This window comes from Homo sapiens, chromosome 10 (genome assembly GCF_000001405.40).
Source record: "Homo sapiens chromosome 10, GRCh38.p14 Primary Assembly".
Lineage (NCBI taxonomy): Eukaryota > Metazoa > Chordata > Mammalia > Primates > Hominidae > Homo > Homo sapiens.
This window is the reverse complement of record NC_000010.11, coordinates 112,129,150-112,149,807: the sequence shown is the minus strand read 5'-3', so window position 1 is coordinate 112,149,807 and position 20,658 is coordinate 112,129,150. Positions and strand designations below refer to the sequence as shown.

General features: G+C 48.0%; 1 annotated feature.

Annotated features, from left to right (window-relative positions):
• Positions 9,278 to 9,777: an enhancer, noted in NCBI's record as "H3K4me1 hESC enhancer chr10:113899789-113900288 (GRCh37/hg19 assembly coordinates)". NCBI's record gives its function as "activates a minimal SCP1, AML or CMV promoter by ChIP-STARR-seq in naive H9 embryonic stem cells {active_cell/tissue: H9 hESC(naive)}" and the evidence as "EXISTENCE:reporter gene assay evidence [ECO:0000049][PMID:30033119]".

Below are 20,658 nucleotides of genomic sequence, written 5' to 3'. Positions count from 1 at the left end.
CAATTATTGTTTTCTGACTTTATATAGCAACTTATTAAAATGCTTAACGATACCTTACATAAATGTATGAACCTACAGTTCATGCTTTTATTATTGACCCACAGCTTTCCAAATTTGATCAAGCATTTGGAGATGTAGGTCTGCTTCTTAGCTATTGCTCTCCTTTTATTTAGTAAATATTCATATTCTAGGGAGATTCTGTGGGTTTTTGTAAAGATTTCTTTAAGCTTGGTGCTTTTTGTTATATTTTTACATATTTAAGTTTATAAAAAGTGTTTTCTCCACTAGTTTATCACAGTTGCTCAAACAATATTAGTTTACTTTTTTGACAAGAAAATTATTTCTTTTATCAGAGCACAGATTTTGTGGATTCTTTGAAAGTTCTCAAATACAGCCTGATCTCCAGAGTGTTCCTTCTAGAAACGGTGGTAAACGTGTGCCTGCTGATGATGTCCGTGTCCTTTGGATGCATGATATGGCTGTGAAACTGATTGACGCCCAAGACCATCCCATCCGTTCTCCAGCCAGCCTCTCTCCCTAAACTTCCTACTTGAACGCTTCTGATTTTCTCTGTGATGTTGCTGTGACTGTGCCCTTATTCTGGCACATTCATTCTTTACATTAGCAACTCTCTTGCTGCTGCCAAAGGTTACCTTCCTTTTATTGTAGCTAAATTCTAACTTTCACAGCCACTAGGTAAGTGGATGTTAATTTTGAAGTCTCATCTCGTTGTTTAGTCTACTCTCTAATTTTAGTCCTGTCATTTTCCTTTTTAAGCCCTTGCTGTCTTCTACACATCTAGCTAGTAAAATTCCAACATACCTCCTTGACATGTACAAGGGCACTTGTGGTGTTGACACCCCTACCTGGCTTCTCTTGCCCCTTCAGTTTCCATGGCCCTATTGTCTCCTGTCTCCCGTCACGACTCCGTGCTTCTCCAACTCTTCCTTGCCTCCCATCCCTTACCAGATAGTCCTGGTGGTGTTGCCTGATCCTCTGATTTGAAAAAAAAATTTTTTTTCAGTGTAATCTGGAATTTGTATTTTTATGTGAAAGCATCTAATTTTTACACAATGGTCCAACAACATATATGGATCAAGTAAATTGCCTTTCCAGGCCATTTCTATCTTGTCAACTGCCAGTTTGTATCTTTTGGCCTAGGAAAAAGAAGCATGAAAGGACCAGTTTCAAGGTGCCCCTTCCAGGAGGAGCTAGTAGGCAATCCCCAGGGGAGAGAAAGCTAACCTTGGTCATCTGACTTAGGCAGGACTAGAGCTTGAGGCAAATATCTGATGAAGACTGGTGATGTTTAACTAGGCAATGAGCACGTCTGGGTCAGCTTTTGACATCTGACTCACTCCTGTGCCCATGTCAAAGAAACTGTATCGAAACAAGCTAGCATTTGCTGCTGGCAGTGGGCTACCTGTGACAGGTGATTAGAGTAAATGAGTGGACAAACGCAATTTCCAGCCCTCTGGGAAAACATCTTTCCTCTTTTGTCTTGCAGGTTGGTGGACAATCAGAAAGGAAAGAACGCAAGTGGACACACCCTCAACCACCTGCTGAAAGTTCCCAACCTACATAGCCAAGATACATCGTACAGAACTTAGTAGAAGTGAGGTGACTCCCTAAGGCAAGAGCAGAGGTAGCATGCCTGAGTGTGCATTTCACCTTGTTCCTCACTCCTTACTGGTGGGCTAATCCTATGCCCATACCCTCCTTTTTCTTTGTAATTATTAACAATGCCCTCTTTGACTCTTAGAAGAGTCTAGGTGTGCATAATAGACTATATGGTTGCTGTATCCATGGGCTCTGCAGCTGCTAGTGACAAGGAATCCTGCTGGAATTGAGAACAAATCTACCTTAAGAATATATATTCAGGTTTTTATCACCTGAGAATTTTAAGAGTCTTTGAGTTTACTTGTAAGGAAATGTTTATGCACTATAAAACATCTAACTTCTGCTTCTTGAACCAATCTTAGCACTTGTTGGGGAGAGCTCAGAAATAGCCCAATTGTCCCCAAGTAATCTCTCTCGAAAAGAGAATCCTACAAAGCCCATCTCTTCTCCTACTTTTGGAGGGTTTGAGGCCCAATTTACTTGCTTTATTATTTCTCCATTGTTGAAATGGTGGGCAAACATCCCACTTCTATTTCATGATTCTAGGTGTGCGTGGTGGTGAAGGGAGTGCTGACTCCCTTCGCCTAGCAAGGGAAAAGTAGAACAGCATGCGGCCCACAGTGAGGATTTTAAGGAGCCATGGAATACGGTGGCTCTGTCTAGACCAGTGATTGTCAAGTGTGGTTATCAGACAAGCAGCATCAGTATCACCTGGGCAATTTCAGTATCACCTGGGAAATTTCAGTATCACCTGGGCAATTTCAGTATCACCAGAGCAATTTGTTGGAAATGCAACTACTTTGAGCCCCAACCCAGAGACCAGCAATACGTATTTTAACAAGTCCTCAGGTGATTGTGATACACATGAAGTTTGAGCACCCTTGCTCTAGACACTTGGCACAATCAGGCATTTCACAGTTCTACACAGTGTACTCTGGAAGTAAAAATGAGGGAGAGGGCATGGGTGATAAATGCCCTTCTAAAGTGGCTTTTCCTCCAGGACGTGTTAAAGTGATCAAGTAAACGGGACAGAGCTGGGCTTTCAGGTAACAGTGCTTAGATCCTTTATGTACCTGGAGATGTTTCTTTCTACAATGGGAAATGGCTGCCTTGAGCCTTGTCATTGTCTAGCCATCTCTGTAGATGCTGGCATAGCTCGCATGCAGTTGGGTGACTTACACCACAAAGTTTGGCATTGAGGTGCTTCTTAGCCCTCAATCTATGAAAAGGAGGCTTGCCCGAGTTGAATTGTGTGTGTGAGCTTTACACAGTCCTTTAAACTGATCCCTTGGTCAGTAAACCTAGGACTGAGAGCTGGCTTTCTTGTGCGCATGCAGACTCTGAGCTGATCATGTCACTTCTGTGGGCATGGTTGTTCTCCGTATGGCATAGGGGCAAATGCACAGTGGATTTTTGAAGATGAAATTAGGTTTAATGAAGGCGGAAGTGTTTTGTAGGCCGGCAAGTGTGAAACAACTGTGTGTGTTTTGTATGCTTTCATGTGATGGCCAGTCAGGTGTGGCCACAGAAGAGACACAATTTATTATAGTCATAGGTCGTAGAGACAGGAGGCATGGGACACCCCACACAGGGCCACATGGGAAAGACACAGGGGTGGTCAGGAGGCAGAAGACAGGAGCGTGGTGGGGGCTTGGGTCGGAGCATTTATTGATGCTTCTGAGGGAAAGGCAGGGCAGGGCAGGGTGAACTGTTTAGCATTGATAATGGAATAGTCTGGATAATTTCACTGGGCTCTAAACTATAGGAGTGGTCCTTAGTTTTCTGTTATCAGTCCCTGGGATGAGTTAGGTAGAGGAATATTGCTTGCAAGGGTGTATGGGCCAGATTGAGAAGGCATGGCTCTGGATTAATTAGTGTGTATATCAAAGTAGGCTCCTGGCTGAGTCCTTTGCCATCTCTAAGAATTGACTAGTGCCAGGAGGGGCAGTCTCTCCCCAGCCAGACAGTCTTTTTAAGATGTCAAAGAATCATGGGTTAGAAAGTTTAGCTCTGAGGAAGCTTATGCGTCGTTCAGAGGGAAATTAAGCGTCACCTAGTATTCTGCCTCCAAGTTTTACAGAAGAGAAGATTACCAGTGCTCACACAGTAAGTTGATAGAATCTAGACCAGAAGCAACATTGTTTGACACAGTCCAGTCAACACCAGCCAAAGGGAACACAGACAAGTCAGTAAAATGACCAAGTTTTCCTGCAGCAAAGTCAAATCATGCATATCTTTGATGTGAAGCTTGGCAAATGGCATAATGAGGTGGACTGGACGGAAGTTAATTGGCTCCAGCAAAACAGTGTGGCAGACATATCTAGGACTGACTTGTGCTTCTATCATTAGGCACTGTGCTAAGCACTTTGTATGTATCATCTCAGTCCTCTGGGGTGGGTACTATTAGCCCCATCCTACCAGCGTTGAAACTGAGACTCACCGGTGAAGTAGTTTGCTTCAGACTGGTAACACAGAGTTCACATTTTCTCTTGATCATTGTGACATGCTTCTTTCTGGAGTTTGCAAACCCAAGGAACCTTCATCTAGGAGCAATTGACAAAAGCACAGGGAAAACAGTGCTTAGGAAAACATCCTCAGGATGGGGGAAGAGAAAGTGAGCGAAGAGCTTCGCAGAAGATCTCTTAGAATGTTCTTGCACAGAGTAGAGCAGGAAGGGAGTCTTTGAGGTTGAAAATAGCCAGAATGTGCTACTGCTTATTGCAAATCTGTTATGGCACAGAGCCACACTCAGCAACTTAGCATAGGGTAGTATTTTTATTGTATGCTGCAGACACCATGCTGATCATGGTCCTAAACAACCCTAATAGTAACCTGAATGTGAGCAATTTCTCAGCGTCGTGGTGTCGGCAAGTGGTGTGGCTGTTTTCCAACTTGAGCTTCAACATTGTGTTTTACAAATGCTCAGTGGAGTCGCTTAGCATCCCTGGTGGGTCCATGTCTGGAAGAGAGAACAACTAACTTTGAAACAGAATCTGGAGATGGCACTTATTTGGGAAGTGTTTTGAGCACAAAGCGAGCTTTAGTCAGGTTCACTTTGAAGTCTCTCACTGTGTTCACTGGGTTGGAAAACTCACTTTTCTCTTGTGGCTGAGGGAACAGGTGGCAGTTCCACCCTGTCCTCCCTCACTGTGCAGGCTATGGTCCTGGCCCCCTCCCTCTGCAGTCAGGAGACACCCCTCCCCTCCAAGATACTGAATGGATCACTTCCAAACCTGGAATCCTGGGACAGTAATGATTTTAACAGGGCCAAAGCTACATCATGCTTTAAGGCTCGAAACTACAAGCTGTTTCTTCATTTGTTTGTTTTTACACAAAGTGTCTTTCTGCCTCCGGGTCAGGATTTTTTTGTTGTTATTTTTGAGCTGGAGTCTCCCTGTGTTGCCCAGACTGGAGTGCAGTGGCCTGATCTTGGCTCACTGCAACCCCGCCTCCTGAGTTCAAGCAATTCTCCTGCCTCAGCCTCCCGAGTAGCTGGGCCTACAGGCGCGTGCCACCACACCCAGCTAATTTTTGTACTTTTAGTAGAGATGGGGTTTCACCATGTTGGCCAGGATGGTCTCGATCTCCTGACCTCGTGATCCACCCACCCTGGCCTCCCAAAGTGCTGGGATTACAGGCGTGAGCCACCGTGCCCAGCCAGGAATTTTTGTATAATCTGTTTTGTAGGAGGCTTCTGGCCTCCTTAACATTCCCCCATAGAAGTTCCCTCTCACTGCAGACACAGGGCAGGAAATTAAATTTGGAGAGTATATCTAAAATGGGCAATGGAACACAATCATTGTTTCTGGTCAGGATGAAACTTAATTTTTATTGGCAACAACCTTGCATTTAGTTCTTTCTCTTCGTGAGAATTCATACTTCTTTATTCTAATCTTTTGAACCAGGAGGGTCAGCTGAAATGGTGTGCCTGTGCTTGCTGTTTTAATTCAGTTTTATTAAAGATAAAATCTTGTCAGGGCCCAGGAAATAATTTTACATAATGGTGACATGTAGAGGTTGAAAGAGTAACTGTCAGAAAGACATTTGGGTCTCATGGCACTGTGAGGGGCTAAGACTTGGTAGATACTGAATGTGGAGTTACTGTAGCCAGGCCAGGCACACAGAGACAGGAGATACCCCACACCAGGTGAATCCCCAAAAAGCTCCAAGGAAATCAACTTTAAAAATTACAACATGATTTTAAAGGAGTAAATGCTTTGCTATTTAAAGTAGCCCCCTGGCAAGGTCTTCAGTAATATGAAGGTCATCGAGTCTGCAAAGTAGAGTTAGTAATTGGTTATATGACTTCGGGCACACACTTGATCTCTCCCTTTTGTTAATTAGGGCTAGTAACAATGACTGACAACATGTCTAGCACGGGAGTGTTAGGAAAACCTGCTGAGCCAGTGTGAGGTGCTTTGCAGTGTAATTTAGGCGTAAAGGTGGGCTTCGGTCACAGAATTGGACTTTCTTGAGGCGGAGTTTTGCAGTAGATTCTGTAGGCCCTATCTTTCTCCCCTCAGCCACCCTGCAGGACAGATGTGGATGTTCCTGCACCCCCTCTCTTCCTGGGTCTCTCTGTGGAGGGTGTTCTTGGTTTCTGCCTCTGGTGCTTGGGAGCCAACACCCCAGAGGTGAGAGCTGGGGGATAAACAGCTCACCTTCTCTGCCCCTCAAGGGCATGCTTTGGAGGGTTCCTGTGGGTGGGATGATGCTCCAGTTGCCCTCATCAGTGACCTACTCATGAGCACCCCTTTCTTGGCTTTTCCCCTCTGTGTCTCCCTGTCCCAGTCCCTAACTGGCCTTCCTGGCATCAGCTCGCACATAAATGACTTGCAGCCAAACTCCTGTCTCTCTAGCAGCTTTTAGGGAGACCCAAAGTAAGACAGGCCTCATGAGTATTCATCAGACAAGATGCTGAACTGGCTGGGCGCAGTGGCTCACACCTTTAATTCCAGCACTTTGGGAGGCTGAGGCAGGTGGATCACTTGAGATCAGGAGTTCAAGACCAGCCTGGCCAACATGGAGAAACCCCATTTCCACTAAAAATATGAAAATTAGCCAGGCATGGTGGCGCATGCCTGTAATTTAAGCTACTCATGAGGCTGAGGCAGAAGAGTCATTTGAGCATGGGAGGCGGAGGCTGCAGTGAGCCGAGATTGTGCCATTGCACTCCAGCCTGGGCGACAGAGACTTCATCTCAAAAAAAAAAAAAAAAAAAGCCAGAAAAAGATGCTGAGCCACAAAGCCATGTCAACAACTAGTGTTTCCAAAGACTGCTAAGTTGCACTAACCAATGCAGTGTCACTCCAGGTTGTGGAACAATTAGAGGGAGAGAGAGGGAAGCTGACGTTTCTAATTCCGGGTTTGAGGTCCCTGCCAGAAGTTGGTGATGAGGAGTGATCTGGAAATACTGCCCTGGTTCCTTTGCTGGTTGCCAGGAAGAAAGATGATCAACTGTGCTTAGAGAGATTAGGATTCAGGGTGGGAAGTATTCGGGGAGGGTTATTACCATCATCAACCCACATTCACAGAGCCTAGAGAAGGCAGAAGATACAAAGGGCCAACCATGGCCTCACCTGGGGCAGCCCTCTGGCTCTCAGGGGACACAGGACTTTATCCAAGAAAAGTTACCTAACAATATTGTAGTTGGAGATTTGGATGGTGATTGAGGGAGGTCTCATATCAGAGTTAGTTTTTAATTGAGCCTTGAAGGAAGGGCAAGAACCAGAGAGTGGGGACAGGAATCCCTTCAACAGTTCACCAGACGGTTTTGTTTTCTGCTTTTTGTTTCTTTGAGGCAGAATCTCACTCTGTCGCTCAGGCTGGAGTGCAGTGGTGCAATCTCATCTCACTGCAAACTCCGCCTCCTGGGTTCAAGTGATTCTCCTGCCTCAGCCTCCCGAGTAGCTGGGAGTACAGGTGAGCGCCACCATGCCCGACCAATTTTTGTATTTTTAGTAGAGATGGGGTTTCCTCATGTTGGCCAGGCTGGTCTCGAACTCCTGACCTCAAGTGATATGACTGCCTCAGCTCCCAAAGTGCTGGGATTACAGGTGTGAGCCATTGTGCCTGGCCCCAGCAGTGAAACTTAACAAAACTCTTAAGTGATAATATGCGAGGCCTGTGTGTGGCCACACATAGTGGTGACCTGTGGGCTCCAGACAGATGGCCCACCCATCACATCACATCACTAAAGCTACTGTAAATAATTAAAGTAGCTTTAGTTATTTAAAGCTACTTTGATAACTTTAAATTTTCAAAGAAATGAGGTCGATGCTTCAGATGTCAGAACATTTTTCTGTAAAATTGTAGCTTTTGTTAAATCTGTCAGAAGACCTGGCGGCCCTGGGTCTGTGCCGCAGCATGGAGTAAGGGGTTGCTAGTGAACAGAGAGCATTTGGATGGGGCATGTGTCTTTTCATGTGCCACACTCCCCCTACCCAGTTGGTTCTCAGACCAAGGGTGAGGGGTTGTTAATTATTGGACGTACACTTTTCTTTTTTCCAAAATAGAGTGAAATGTCTCCAAATGCCTATCTTTATTTAAAACGGAAAAAAAGAAAGCAGACAGACAATTTGTTTTTTTTTTTTTTCAGGGTAAAGGTAAAGTAATACGTATTGAGCAAGAACTAATTGCCAGTCATTGGGCTAACAGCTTTACAGGCACGACTAGCCACTTCCCATTTTACAGATGGAGAAGCACAATGAGTGTGTCTTGGGAAACTCCTCAAGCTCTTAGGGGAAGCTTCGTGAGTGGGCACTCAAACTCCAACTCTTCCCACTGAACCTGAAGTTTCCTTGACCTTGATTTCCTTCCTGGATGTCTGGATTTCATGATATGGGTTTCGAGATGAGGGGAAGGAGAAGGAAGGTAATGCTCTAGAATGTGGGACTTTACCAAAAAAAAGTAAAGCCCGCTTCCCAGGACCCATGTGTCTGCCTTAGGAATTAAACCCACCCGTTCCAGGGTAAAGGGGCTATAAGTATTTGAAGCAGGGAGGCACACACTGCTGTTGAGTGTGATGGGTGGGCCAATCTCATGTCAGGGGCCTCAGGATAATAGAAAGCCACAACCTGGAAGGTCATGGGCAAGTCCATTTTCACAGCCTTCTTCCAGTACAGAGCTCTGAACTACCAACAGACGAGAGTTTCGAGCAGCTAGAGTCTGGTGCATGGTCTGGGGGCAGCTTCCTACCTAAATGCCTTCTGTCTTAACTGCCTTTGCATGTGACTGCTGTCCAGGGGTTTATAGCTTTATGATTCAGAATCTGGCTGAGGGTTCCTGGGTTCAAATCCCTGCTCTGCACTTACCAGCCACATGAACCTTGTGTCTGCTTTTTGCTTAGTCATTTCCACCTGATAGGAGATCAGATGAAGTAATGAGCATGCATGAAGCATTTAGCACCAGCGTGGCACATGGTAAACACTTTATACACATTAGCTCTGCTAAGAGGCCTGCCCTTTTCCAGATGAGTCTGCACACTTTCTGCAGGAGCCACTGCTTTTCTACCCCTCCCTGCCCACTGGCTCCTTTGGCCAGCATATTGAAACCACCGCATAAACAGGGGCATCCATGTGCAGGGCTACTGCTTTGGGGTTCACCACCCTTTTCAGCCTTGCTAATGGTCATGAATTTTCAGATGCTAATTTGCTTGCATTAAGCCTCACCTGGACTTCAGCAGGGGCATCCGTATGCAGGACTAGTGGTTTGGGGTTCACCAGCCTCCTCAGCCTTCTTGTTGGTCGTGAATTTTCCGATGCCAATTTGCTTGCATCAGGCCCCGCCTGGACCAGGGTGCAGGGTGTGGCCACACTGCGCATTCCAACTCTGTCCACTAGATGGCGGTCAGATTTCATCAAGGGGTACCAGGCCCAGGACTGGAAAAAAAGGTGTGGCCTCCGCCCAGACCCTGGGACCAGGTGGACGCCTCCTGGGGTGCTTCTTAGCAACTGCAGCTTATCACTGACGGCCAGAAATGAGACCTCAGGATGGATCCTTCAAGTGGAGGAAAGGAAAGGAGAGACAGAAATGCAGATGGGGTGGGAAGTGGGGTAAAAGTGGCAGCAATGGGCATGGCTCAGGGATCCCAAGGTCTCCATCTAGCCTCTGTTTCCTGTCTGCAGCCTAGAGGCACAGGGATGTGGATTGATGGGGACCCGAGGCAGCCTGTCCCCTGCCAGGAGACAGGCCCTGTCACCTCTGCCTGGGTTTCACATCTGCCCGTCCCCTGTGCTGGTCCAGGCTCTGGTCACTCTCTGTCAAATTGTCTCTGCTGATTTTATTGCCTTCTCTCCAGTTTCTCTGCCCACCTCTGCCTTGCAGCCCATCTTCCCTGAGCCTTTCTGCTCCTCCGTCAATCACTGTCAGAGCCCTCCAAGACCACCTGCTTTTCCCTGGCCTTCCCTGTTCACTGCACTCAGTGCTTCCTCAGGCACACCCCACCCCATGCCTTTGCTTCTGCAGTTTCTTATTCCTCACCTCTGCATGTTCAAATCTTATTCTCCACCCCAACCTGTAAGTGATTGCTTCCTCCTCTGAAACCTCATTGCATTGCTTCTATGGTGCTGGGCCCTTTCATGTATTCTTTCATTCTAATGTTTGCTGAGCACCTACTATGTGCGGCAAGATGCCAGGGATACAATGGTGAATGAAGTCAACATCTCAACTCTCCTTGAGCTTCTATTCCAGCTGGCAAGATGGGGCTAAAGGTAAACAGTGTAAGGAAAACAATCACAGCCTACCACGAGGGCAGTGTGGGGAACCCATGGGTGCTGTGGTCGTGTGTTGTGGGGTGCCAGCTGGCGAGGCTTCTCTGAGCAAGGTGATGTTTCAGCTAAGCCTCAAGACTGAGAAAGAGCCAGGTTGGCAAGGGGCTAGTGGGGTGGGAGTGGGCTGCCCTGGCAGAGGGGATGGCGTGAGGAGGACCCTAAGGCGGGAAGAGACTGGGCTGGTGGAGAAGCTGAGAGAAGGCTTGTATTAGTCCGTTTTCATGCCTCTGATAAAGACATACCTGAGACTGGGTAACTTCTAAAGAAAAAGAGGTTTAATGGACTCACAGTTCCACGTGGCTGGGAAGGCCTCACAATTAAGGCAAAAGGCACATCTTACATGGCGGCAGACAAGAGAGAATGAGAGCCAAGCGAGAGAGGAAACTCCTTATAAAACCTTCAGATCTTGTGAGACTTATTCACTACCACGAGAACAGTATGGGGGAAACTGACCCCATGATTCAGTTATTTTCCACCAGGTCCCTCCCACAACAGATGGTAATTATGGGAGCTACAATTCAAGATAAGATTTGGGTGGGGACACAGCCAAACCATATCAAGGCTGAAGGCAGCATCTGAGCTGAGAGGGATGCCAGAGGGCCAGGTAGGGAAGCTGTTGAAGGGGGGTAATGAAGACTCAAGCTTTTTAAAGAGCATTTTTTTCCCTCCGCTGATCTGTATACAGTGTCCTGAGTGGAAGGGGAGGAAAAGAAACCATAGTCCAGAAAGAGATGCTGGTAGCTTGGGTGGGGACGCAGAGAAATGGGTGGATTTGGGCATTCTGGAGACCGGTGAGCAGGCTCTCTCCACCATACAGGGATAGGGCACACTGTCAAGGTAAACTCCAGTGGCTTAGGGTGGGGTGGAGGACAGCTGCCTCCAGAGCACAGAGAGGGAGGGGTCCTGAGGCCATGTGCAGTCTGGGAGGTAAAGTGTGATGTGTTTGACAGCCCTAGTGCAGCACAGCACAGGAGGGGTAGTGTGAGATTGGCAGTTGGATCTGACATTCGATGAATGGCCTCCCAACTCCTCGAGGGCAGGAACCGTGCTTGATTCACTGTTGTGTCTCTTAAAAAGCTTTTCCTGGGCTATGGGGAAGTGGCCTCTCTGACAAGCATAGGGATTTGATATTGTTGGAGAAATGGGTGCCAATGGGTCTGGATGGGCTTCTCTTGCCACATGCCACCTGCTGTCTTGGGAGCACCTAGGGATGCCTCCAGTGGCTGCAGAGTGAGGGTGAGGGCGGGTCATTGCTTTTCTCCCCCGCCCTCCATTGCTGTGCCTAGGGGACTCCAAGCCCGCTTGGTCCTCTCAGATGTTGCCTAGGCAGTGAGCTCAGGATCTCCCTCACTCCCCTTTAGGGTCCACTGGTTACACCTTGGCCTTTGAAAAGTGGAATGCTCCTGATTTCAAGTCATATGGTATAGAAGCCTACTTCCTCTCAGAAGGGGAAAGCGGTGCCTCGCGTGCCGCCTAGAAATACCTCTTTAATGTCTAAATCACCATGTTGGAACTTCACTCCTAACAGAGACTGTGCCAGCTGCACCTAAAAAACCCACCATATTATCCCTTATTATTCATTTACAGTGTAAATTTTACACATTGATAGACATAAGATTGGCAAAGCAAACTGGGGAAGAGTGGGAGGGAGAATGCGTGGCTTTGTGTCTGAGATCTGTGGGAAGAAGGGGGAAATGCTGAGAAGGGACAAGGGGAGGGATGCTGGGGCTGGAAGCAAGTGTCCTGCACTGCACAGTCTTGCCCTGAGCTTGTGCCTGCCTGGGAACTTGAATCCTCCTTCCTCAGTAAAGGAGCCGGGGGCACCTGCCATTTTTTCCACTAGAGGGCGCCAGCACCCTGCAATGCAGCCTGGAGGTTTGGGACCTGGCTGGGAAGACAGCTGAGAATGGAAGAGGTTTGGGGCGTCTCAGGGCCTCAGAAGCACCGTGTACCTGGAATCCCTTGCCTTGCATCCCCTGAGCTCCCTGCTCCCCTCTGCTGCTCCAATGGGGCTGCATTTCCTTGGGTATCTCCCAATCCATCTCTGGCCCCATGTTCGCCAGCATGAGCCCTTGGTTGTGGGAGCTCCAGCTAGACGTGGGGACTTCAGGAAGCTGTGATGAGCACCAGAGGGACTCCTGAGCTGCTATGTGCAGCTAGGTCTGCCTGCCCTGGAGCCTCCGGTTCCTATGGCCTCCTCCCTGGAGGGAGAGTTTGCTAGGAGAAGAGAGCTTGTCTTTGCGTATTTTGTTTATTCTCTATTTCCTTAGGGCCTCACTGGACCCTGCACTGAGTAGGTACTCCTCAAATCCACTGCACCTGTGTGCATGCTGGGCATTGGCCCTGGCAGCTGCTATGCAGTGTGGGAGTAGAGCCCCGGGAACAGTGAGTGGGTGAGAAGGCTCAGCTGGTGTGCAAAATGGGATCAGAGCAGAGCTGGGAGGCTGGGGATGCTGGGTGTGGAGGGAGGAGAGGAAGAGGAAGGAGAGGGCAATGAGCTGGTCTTGGAAGCTTGGGGAAGCATTCAGACAGGCACAGAGGAGCCACATTAAACAAGGGTTTGGCCCAGTAGCCACCTGGGCTGCCAGTGTTCTAGAACTAGGAAACCAACCCAGGAAGCTGGCTCTGCTCCTGGCCCCCAAAGCCCTTTCCTCTAGGCTGTTCTAGGCCAAGGAACGGAGGGGAAATGTTTTCCTTATTCCATTCTGGCCTTTAGCTGTGGTATCGCCTGCCAAGCTCTCTGGAGGATCCAGGGGGACCGGCCATCAGATCCCCCCAAACAGCTGTGCTCTTCTGTCCAGACACTGTTCAGCCACAGCCTTGGGCTGGGCCTTTCCTCTGTGTCCTGGGCCGAGGACCCAGAGCTGCTGGGGGCCTGTGTGCCCCACAGGATCCATGAAGGTCTCCACAGCTGCAGGTGCAGGTGTCATAATCTGCATAAGTTGCAGTTCATGTGATTGTCACCGCCAGAATCTCTGAATATTGCTCACCTGGGTATGGAGCTGCCCGAAGTTCTTGTGTGGGTTTTCAGCCATACTTACATGGGTTATAGGCATGCTGGACCATTGGTAAAATCACATTGGCAGGCTGTGTTTTCTTCTCCCAGCTGTTAAAGCTGCAATTCTGGCAGTCAGAAGACGTCGCTTACTTGGTGGTTTCTAGCAGCCAATTCCCCTGTCTGAAAAGGATCCCTCATGGGGTTTGTTGTGTTATGGGCTTGTCTGAAATGTTAACCTATTTGTTCTTAAATGTCATCGGTGAGTGATTTTTATCACAATGAGAGTCTCATTGATGAAAGTCGTTGAGAGCCCGAGGACTTTGTGCAGAGTCTCTGTGGACCACGAGGGAATCTAGCAGAGAGGGGAGGTGGGTGGGTTGGATGTGGTGGTGCCTTTCAAGCTGAGGCCATGGGAGCTGCTTCGGGCTGGCCATTTGGGCAGTTCCCTTCAGTACAGGCCTCACCCCCAAGCAATGTTGTGTTACAAAGGCAGGTTCACCTGAAACTGGGAGGCAATGGGCAATGGTCAGATTTCCATCCATTTCCTGTCACAGCATGGCCATCAGGAAGAGTGACTTAAGAGGCTCAGAGAGGTTGAGATTCTTGCTCAGGACCACACAGCAAAGCAGAGACAGAGTAATGCTGAGAAGGCAGATTTCTGCATCGTATCTTTTGGACTTCTTTCAGCAAAGTGGGACCCTGAAAAGCCAGGGATGCAGAGTTCATTCATTTGGTTGGTCAAATAGTACTTACTGAGTGCTTACGGCATGCTAGGTGCCGAGGACAGCTCAGTCTAATGGGGGATGCCCCTGCAGAGTGTCAGGATGATCCTGGGGAGACGCCCACTTCAGCCGAGTTGGGTATCAAGCAAGCTTCTTGGAAGAAGCAAAAAATACCTGCGCCCTGTTGGAGGATAATCAATTAATTTGATGCTCCTTTGAGACTGTCCCAAGAGAAACAGAGAGTAAACACTCATAAACAAATAGCAGAAATAATGAACAGGGATGGAGTTCTTGCTAGACACTACTCCCTGCAGGCAGGAGCCCCTACCCGTGGGGACACTGAGGCTCAGGGAAGCCAGGAATGGTTGGGAGGGCCCCAGCCGGTCAGTGGTGGAGCTGGGAGTCCCCTCGGTAGAGTTTTTTTTTTTTTTTTAAACTTCTGTTCATCATGGAAAATTCCAAACATGTACAAAAGTGGAGAGAACAACAAAGTACCATGATCCCAACATCCATCTTCAACATTTGCCAACTTAGGGCCAATTTCATTCTGTCCATACCCTCTCCACTCTCCCACTACTGGAGTATTTCATAGTAAATCTCTGACATCATCTCATTTCATCCGTAAGTATTTCAGCAGGCAGCTCTAAAGGATAATGACTCTTTAAAAAAAAAACCTAGTCACAATCTCATTATCACACCTAAACACATCAACAGTAATTCCAGTCAGTGTTCAATGATCAATTGCCTCAATTTTCTTTTCTTTTCTTTTTTTTTTTTTACCAGTTGGTTTGTTCAACTCAGGATCCAAATAAAATCCACACATTGCATGCAATTTCATTTGAACTGTAGTTTTTCTCTCTCTTTCTTTCCTTACAATGTAATTGTTTACACAATGTGGTCATCTCTTCTATGGTTTCCATACCTCACATTTGCTGTTTGTATCCCTGGGGCCCTGTTTAGCATGTTCCTCTGTCCCCCGTATTTCCTGTAACCTAGAACTTGAATCGGGAGGCTTGAGCAGATTCAGGTTTGAGTTTTTGTAGTGCCAGTGTGTTGAAGCACAGATCACAGGCAGCCTGCTGAGCTCTGTGTGTGTGTGTGTGTGTGTGCCAGTGTGCCTGTGTGTGTGTGCACACATGTGTATGTGCCTTTGGGCTTTTCTCTTCTCCCTTGGCCACTTCTCAGAAACCACTGCTTTCCACTCTCTGGTAGTCACAGGCTCCTCTTAAGGTTACAAAACTGCTTCAAGGCTGCTTGTCAAAGAGCAGGCAAGGAGCAAAGAGCAAGTATTTCTCCTTGTCAAAGCTTCAAAGAAGCCTTCAGCACAGACAGAATTTCTTTTAATGTCTGCACTTCAGTTTCCTCCTGCTGCCTCCTTCTGTTGCCCATATTTTGACTTTGGGTCTTTTCTGTCAGGATCTTTAACAGGTCTGAGGATCCAGCATTCTCCTCCCTCTCCCTTCTGTTTTTCAGCCCCGATTTATGAATGACTTACCACATATCAGCTCTGCTCCAGTGAAGTTAGACATAAACTTGAGCTTCTACCCTGAAGGTCCTATGGTCTGAGGTGGGCAGGTCAAATGAAACTACATGCGATGTGTGTATTTTATTTGGATCCTGAGTTGAACAAACCAACTGGTAAAAAAAAAAAAAAGTTGAGGCAATTGATCATTGAACACTGACTGGAATTACTGTTGATGTGTTTAGGTGTGATAATGGGATTGTGATTATGTTTTTTTTTTAAAGAGTCATTATCCTTTAGAGCTGCCTGCTGAGATACTTATGGATGAAATGAGATGATGTCAGAGATTTACTATGAAATACTCCAGTGGTGGGAGAGTGGAGAGGGTATGGACAGAATGAAATTGGACCTAAGTTGCCACAGAAATGGCAACAACAACCGTTCACCCACCTGCCAACCAGAGGTCCCCAGGGGTGCTCTGAAAACAGAGGAAGGCGATCTGGGGGAGGACCTGGGAGGACAGGTCAGCTTCTGCCTCTCTGGCTGGGTGGAAGCCCCCGTCCAAGTCAGAGACTGAGTCTGGAGGAGTTGGCTGCAAAGTGGAGAAAGAGGCCATGTGCCCCACTACTCAGATACCTGCTCTGGCACCGGAAATGTTTGCCCTGAGCCATCCGTCACTGTGCAGGTGCTTAGTGAGCACTTCGTCTGTGCTGGGGGAAGAAGGGGCTTGTCTCATGCTCTCAAAGTATGTATGGTGTCCAGGCAACTGGGTGGCGATCTTTACCCCTCTCCTTTACCCTTCACATCCATCCAGGGCCTATCATGTCCCTTCAACCTCCAGAACAGATTCCAAGTCTATCCCTTCTCTCCACCTCCCCCAGCCCAGCGTGGCCCCCATCATCCTCCAAGTGTCCTGTCTCACTCCTGCTTCCTCTCTTCCTCACTCGAATCCATTCCTCACAGTCCAACCAGAACCCTGTTTTTGAAACATTAATCTCATTACACCCATCCCCTGCCAAAAATCTTATAGTAGGTTGAATAGGGATTCCCCGCCCCCACAAATTCATGTCTTCCCAGAACATCAGAATGTGACCTTATTTGGAAATAAGAGTCCTTGTAGTTGTAAGTAAGTTGAAGTCATCCTGGATGAGGGTGGGCTTTAAATCCAATGACGGATGTTCTTATAAGATGAGGAGAGGACACACAAAGACAGGCAGAGATTGGAGTGATGCATTAGTCCAACTGCATGACTGTAAAGGAATACCTGAAACTGAGGAATTGATGGAGAAAGGAGGTTTAATTGACTCACTGTTCTGCAGGGGGGACAGGAACCTGAGTGCTGGCATCTGCTTCTGGTGAGGGGCCTCAGGAAGCTTCCAGTCATGGCAGAATGTGAAGCGGGAGCAGGCAGGTCACCTGGTGAGAGTGAGGGCAAGAGAGAGAGAGAGAGAATTGGGGAGGTCCCAGACTCTTTTAAACAACCAAATCCTGCATGAACTCACTGAGCAAGAGCTCACTCCTCACCAAGGGGATGTTACTAAACCATTCATGAGGCATCCACCCTCCTGATCCAATCACTTCCCACCAGGCCCCACCTCCACCATTAGGAATCACATTTCAGCATGTGATTTGGAGGGGACAGACCTCCAAACCATATCGTGCTGCTATAAGCCAAAGAGTGCCAGGGACTGTGGGCAGCTGCTGGAAGTTAGGAAGAAGCACGAGGGAATTTTTCCCTGGAGCTTTCAGAGGGGGCACAGCCCTGCCGACACCTTGATTTCAGACTGTCACCCTCCGGGACTGTGGGAGAATACATTTCTGTTGTCTTAAGCCTCAGTTTGTGCTACTTTGTTATGGCAGCCCTAGGAATCTAATAAAACCCTTAATAAATAGCATTCAACATTGAAACATTGTACCTAGAATGAAATCCCAAACCATTCACATGACCTGCCAGGCCTGGCATGTGCCGGTCCTTCTCCCCTGCTGCCTGTGCCTGTGCCCTGTCCACACCTCACGTTTCATCTGTCCTCCTGATCACTCAACATGCCAGTTCCCCAGAGAGACCTTGCCTGGCCTTTCCTTCTCTGACCCTGCTGTAATCAAAACCAGATCTGCCTGTGCTTCTCTGTCACATCTATCTGGTTTTAACTTCCTCATAGCACTTACTCCAAGTAGTAATTTTGAATAAATTGTGAGGCATGCTTCCTTACCAGATTGTGGTCTCTTTGTGGGCGCATGTATCTGTCTTGTCTGTCCTGTATCCCCAGCCCTTAATTCCACATCTGGCACATAGTAGGTGTTTAATAAATACCTGCTGAATAAATATACCCAACATACACATAAATGAAAATACCTCACGGGAAGAGGCTGTAGAGAGGGTCAAATGCGGGGTTGGCGGAGAAGAGGGGGGAGATCAGAAATGACTCCGTCCATGTCTCCAGGGGTCAGACATATTGATGAGGGAGGGCCATGGATCTCATTGTAAACTTGGGGGCACCGGGTGCTCATCACTGTGTGCCAGACGACTCTGCCAGCGGACAGAAGTGGCTCTGCTTGCTGACGAGGAGGCCCTGAGTTTGAGCAGGAAAGGCTGTTCAGCTCCCTGTGCTGTGATTTATGGCTCCCAGACAGAAGGCAGGTGGTCACAATTTATAAGGGCCACAGACCCTTTGGGCCACAACGGTGGTGAATGACATCACCCAAGAAAGGGAATTTACTGCACAGGCATGATGCCAGGTGTCAGGGTGAGTGAGAAAGGCCTGCAGAGCATCTGCTCCAACTCCAAGTTTATAGACGGGTCCACCGAGGCCTTCAGAGGCACGTGACTTGCCCAGAGCCCACCGTGGGTGTGCCCCTGTGGCATCGCAGGCCTGGATCCACGTCTCCTTGTGCTGTTCCTGCTTCCCTTGAGCCTTTCCTTTCAGAAAAAGAGCAAAAACCAAGCCAAGAACCTCCCCTTACGCTCTCTGGGAGGCTGACATTTAAGTAAGTTCATCTGGCTCAGCTTTTACTTAAAGCTCACAGAGGTGACTGTTCTACTTTATAGAAAAGTTAAACTTTAAAAAACTTTCTAGCTTCTTCAACAACTTTGCCAGTGCTGGACAGGTCACTGCTTTTTCTGCAGCCCCCGCTTCTGTCCTTGCTGCCGTCCTGAATCTTTGATGTCTGGGAGCCTGAGACGAGAACTCGGGGGTGGGAAGGTGTAGCAGCGTGGACAGAGAGCAGGCGTGTGACCTCATTTACCTGTCCAACTCCATCCAAGTGAGGCCTTACAAGGAGGCTTTGTGCTGGGCACACAGTGGTGCTCAATTAAGACTGACTGACACAATGAACAGCCATGGATGGTTTGAGTGATGGGGTCCAGCCCCCTCTTTCTGTGACCTGCTCCATCCTCTGAGGCATCGGAATCTTCCGCACTCAGCAATGATGCATCCCCAGCCCTGCCCACCTGTTCAGCCAGGAAATCTGGAGATGGCCCAGGAGTATCCCCTTCACAAGCTGAGTCTTGATTCCTACCACATTTCAAAGGCCCCACTTCTGGCCAGCATCCCTGCTGCCACCGCAGCCCTGCTACCCACCCAGCTGCTGCATGAAGCCCATGACTGGCCCTGGCAGCCATCCTTGTCTCCCAAGTAGTCTATATGTTACAAAGCAGCTTCAAGGAGGTGAGATTTTTAAGATCAAAGTCACTCAAATTCTGCCGATTCCCTACATGAAACTGTCTGTAGCTTCCTGTTGCACTTGGAAGAAAATTCCAACTTCTTGCAGGGACCATGAACCATGCCCACTACCTGCCACCCCCTCCCTTGCAAGTCCCTGACCTCTGTTCTGCCATCAGATGCTCCACTCAGCTAAGCTCGTCCCTACCAGGGGCTCTGTGTCCCCACAGCTGCACTTCCTTATCCTTCAAGTCTCAACTTACATGTCACCTCCTCGGGGGACATCCTCTGTGACCATCCATGTAACATAGGTCTCTGCCCCCATTTCACCCCACGAACATTATATTGTAGCTCAGGGGTCTGCAAACTACAGGGCCAAATCTGACCACAACCTGAGTTTGTAAATAAAGTTAATTGGGACACGGCCACACCCATTCCCTTACCTGTGGACTTGGCTGCTCTCGGGTTACGTTGGCAGAGCTGAGTAGTTGCAACAGACACCGCATGGCACACAAAGCCTAAAATCTTTACTATCTGGCCCTTTGTGGAAAAAGTTTGCCAGCCCCTGTTCTAGCTCAGCCTCTCATTGGCTTTCTTCAATGCCATACTTCACATGTAATTATTTTATATATTTTCATGTTTTTTTCCCTAGTTTTTTGCCAATCTTTCCATAAAAATATGAATTTTCTGAGGGTAGGGCCTTACATGACATTCTTAAGCATATCTCCAGTCTCCAGTTGTTGACAAAAATACAATTTATAATATTGTCCAATACTTTCCTAGGACTAATAGAGTAACTACTGGTCAGATTGGTTGGTATATTTGGTTCATCTCTGCTTGGCTTATTGGTTCCAAATACATGTACACACACCCTAGACCAGATGAGTGTTGACCCTGTATTTATTTACATTAGTGGTTCCCAACCTTTTTGGCACTGGGGACCAGTTTTGTGGAAGACAATTTTTCTATGGACGGGGGTTGGGGTGGGGATAGTTTAAGGATGAAACTGTTCCACCTCAGATGATCAGGCACTAGTTAGACTCTCATAAGGAGTGTGCAGCCTAGATCCCTCGCATGCACAGTTCACAATAGGGTTTGCGCTTCTACGAAAATCCAGTGCCCCACTGATCTGACAGGAGGCGGAGCTCAGGAGGTAATGCCTGCCCGCCTGCTGCTCACCTCCTGCTGTGCGGCCCGGTTCCTAACAGGCTATGGACTGGTACTGGTCTGTGGCCCAGGGGTTGGAGACCCCTGATTTATATCACTTCTTGCTCTTGCAGTCGCACCTGGGCACAGGCTCCTTTTTTATTTCTCTCTCAATCATATTGGCTTCTTGGATAGCTTTTGGAGCGTGAATGAATTGGCTACAAATGATGAAAAAAAAAAAAGGATAAAAGCACTTTGGGAGGCCGAGGCGGGCAGATCA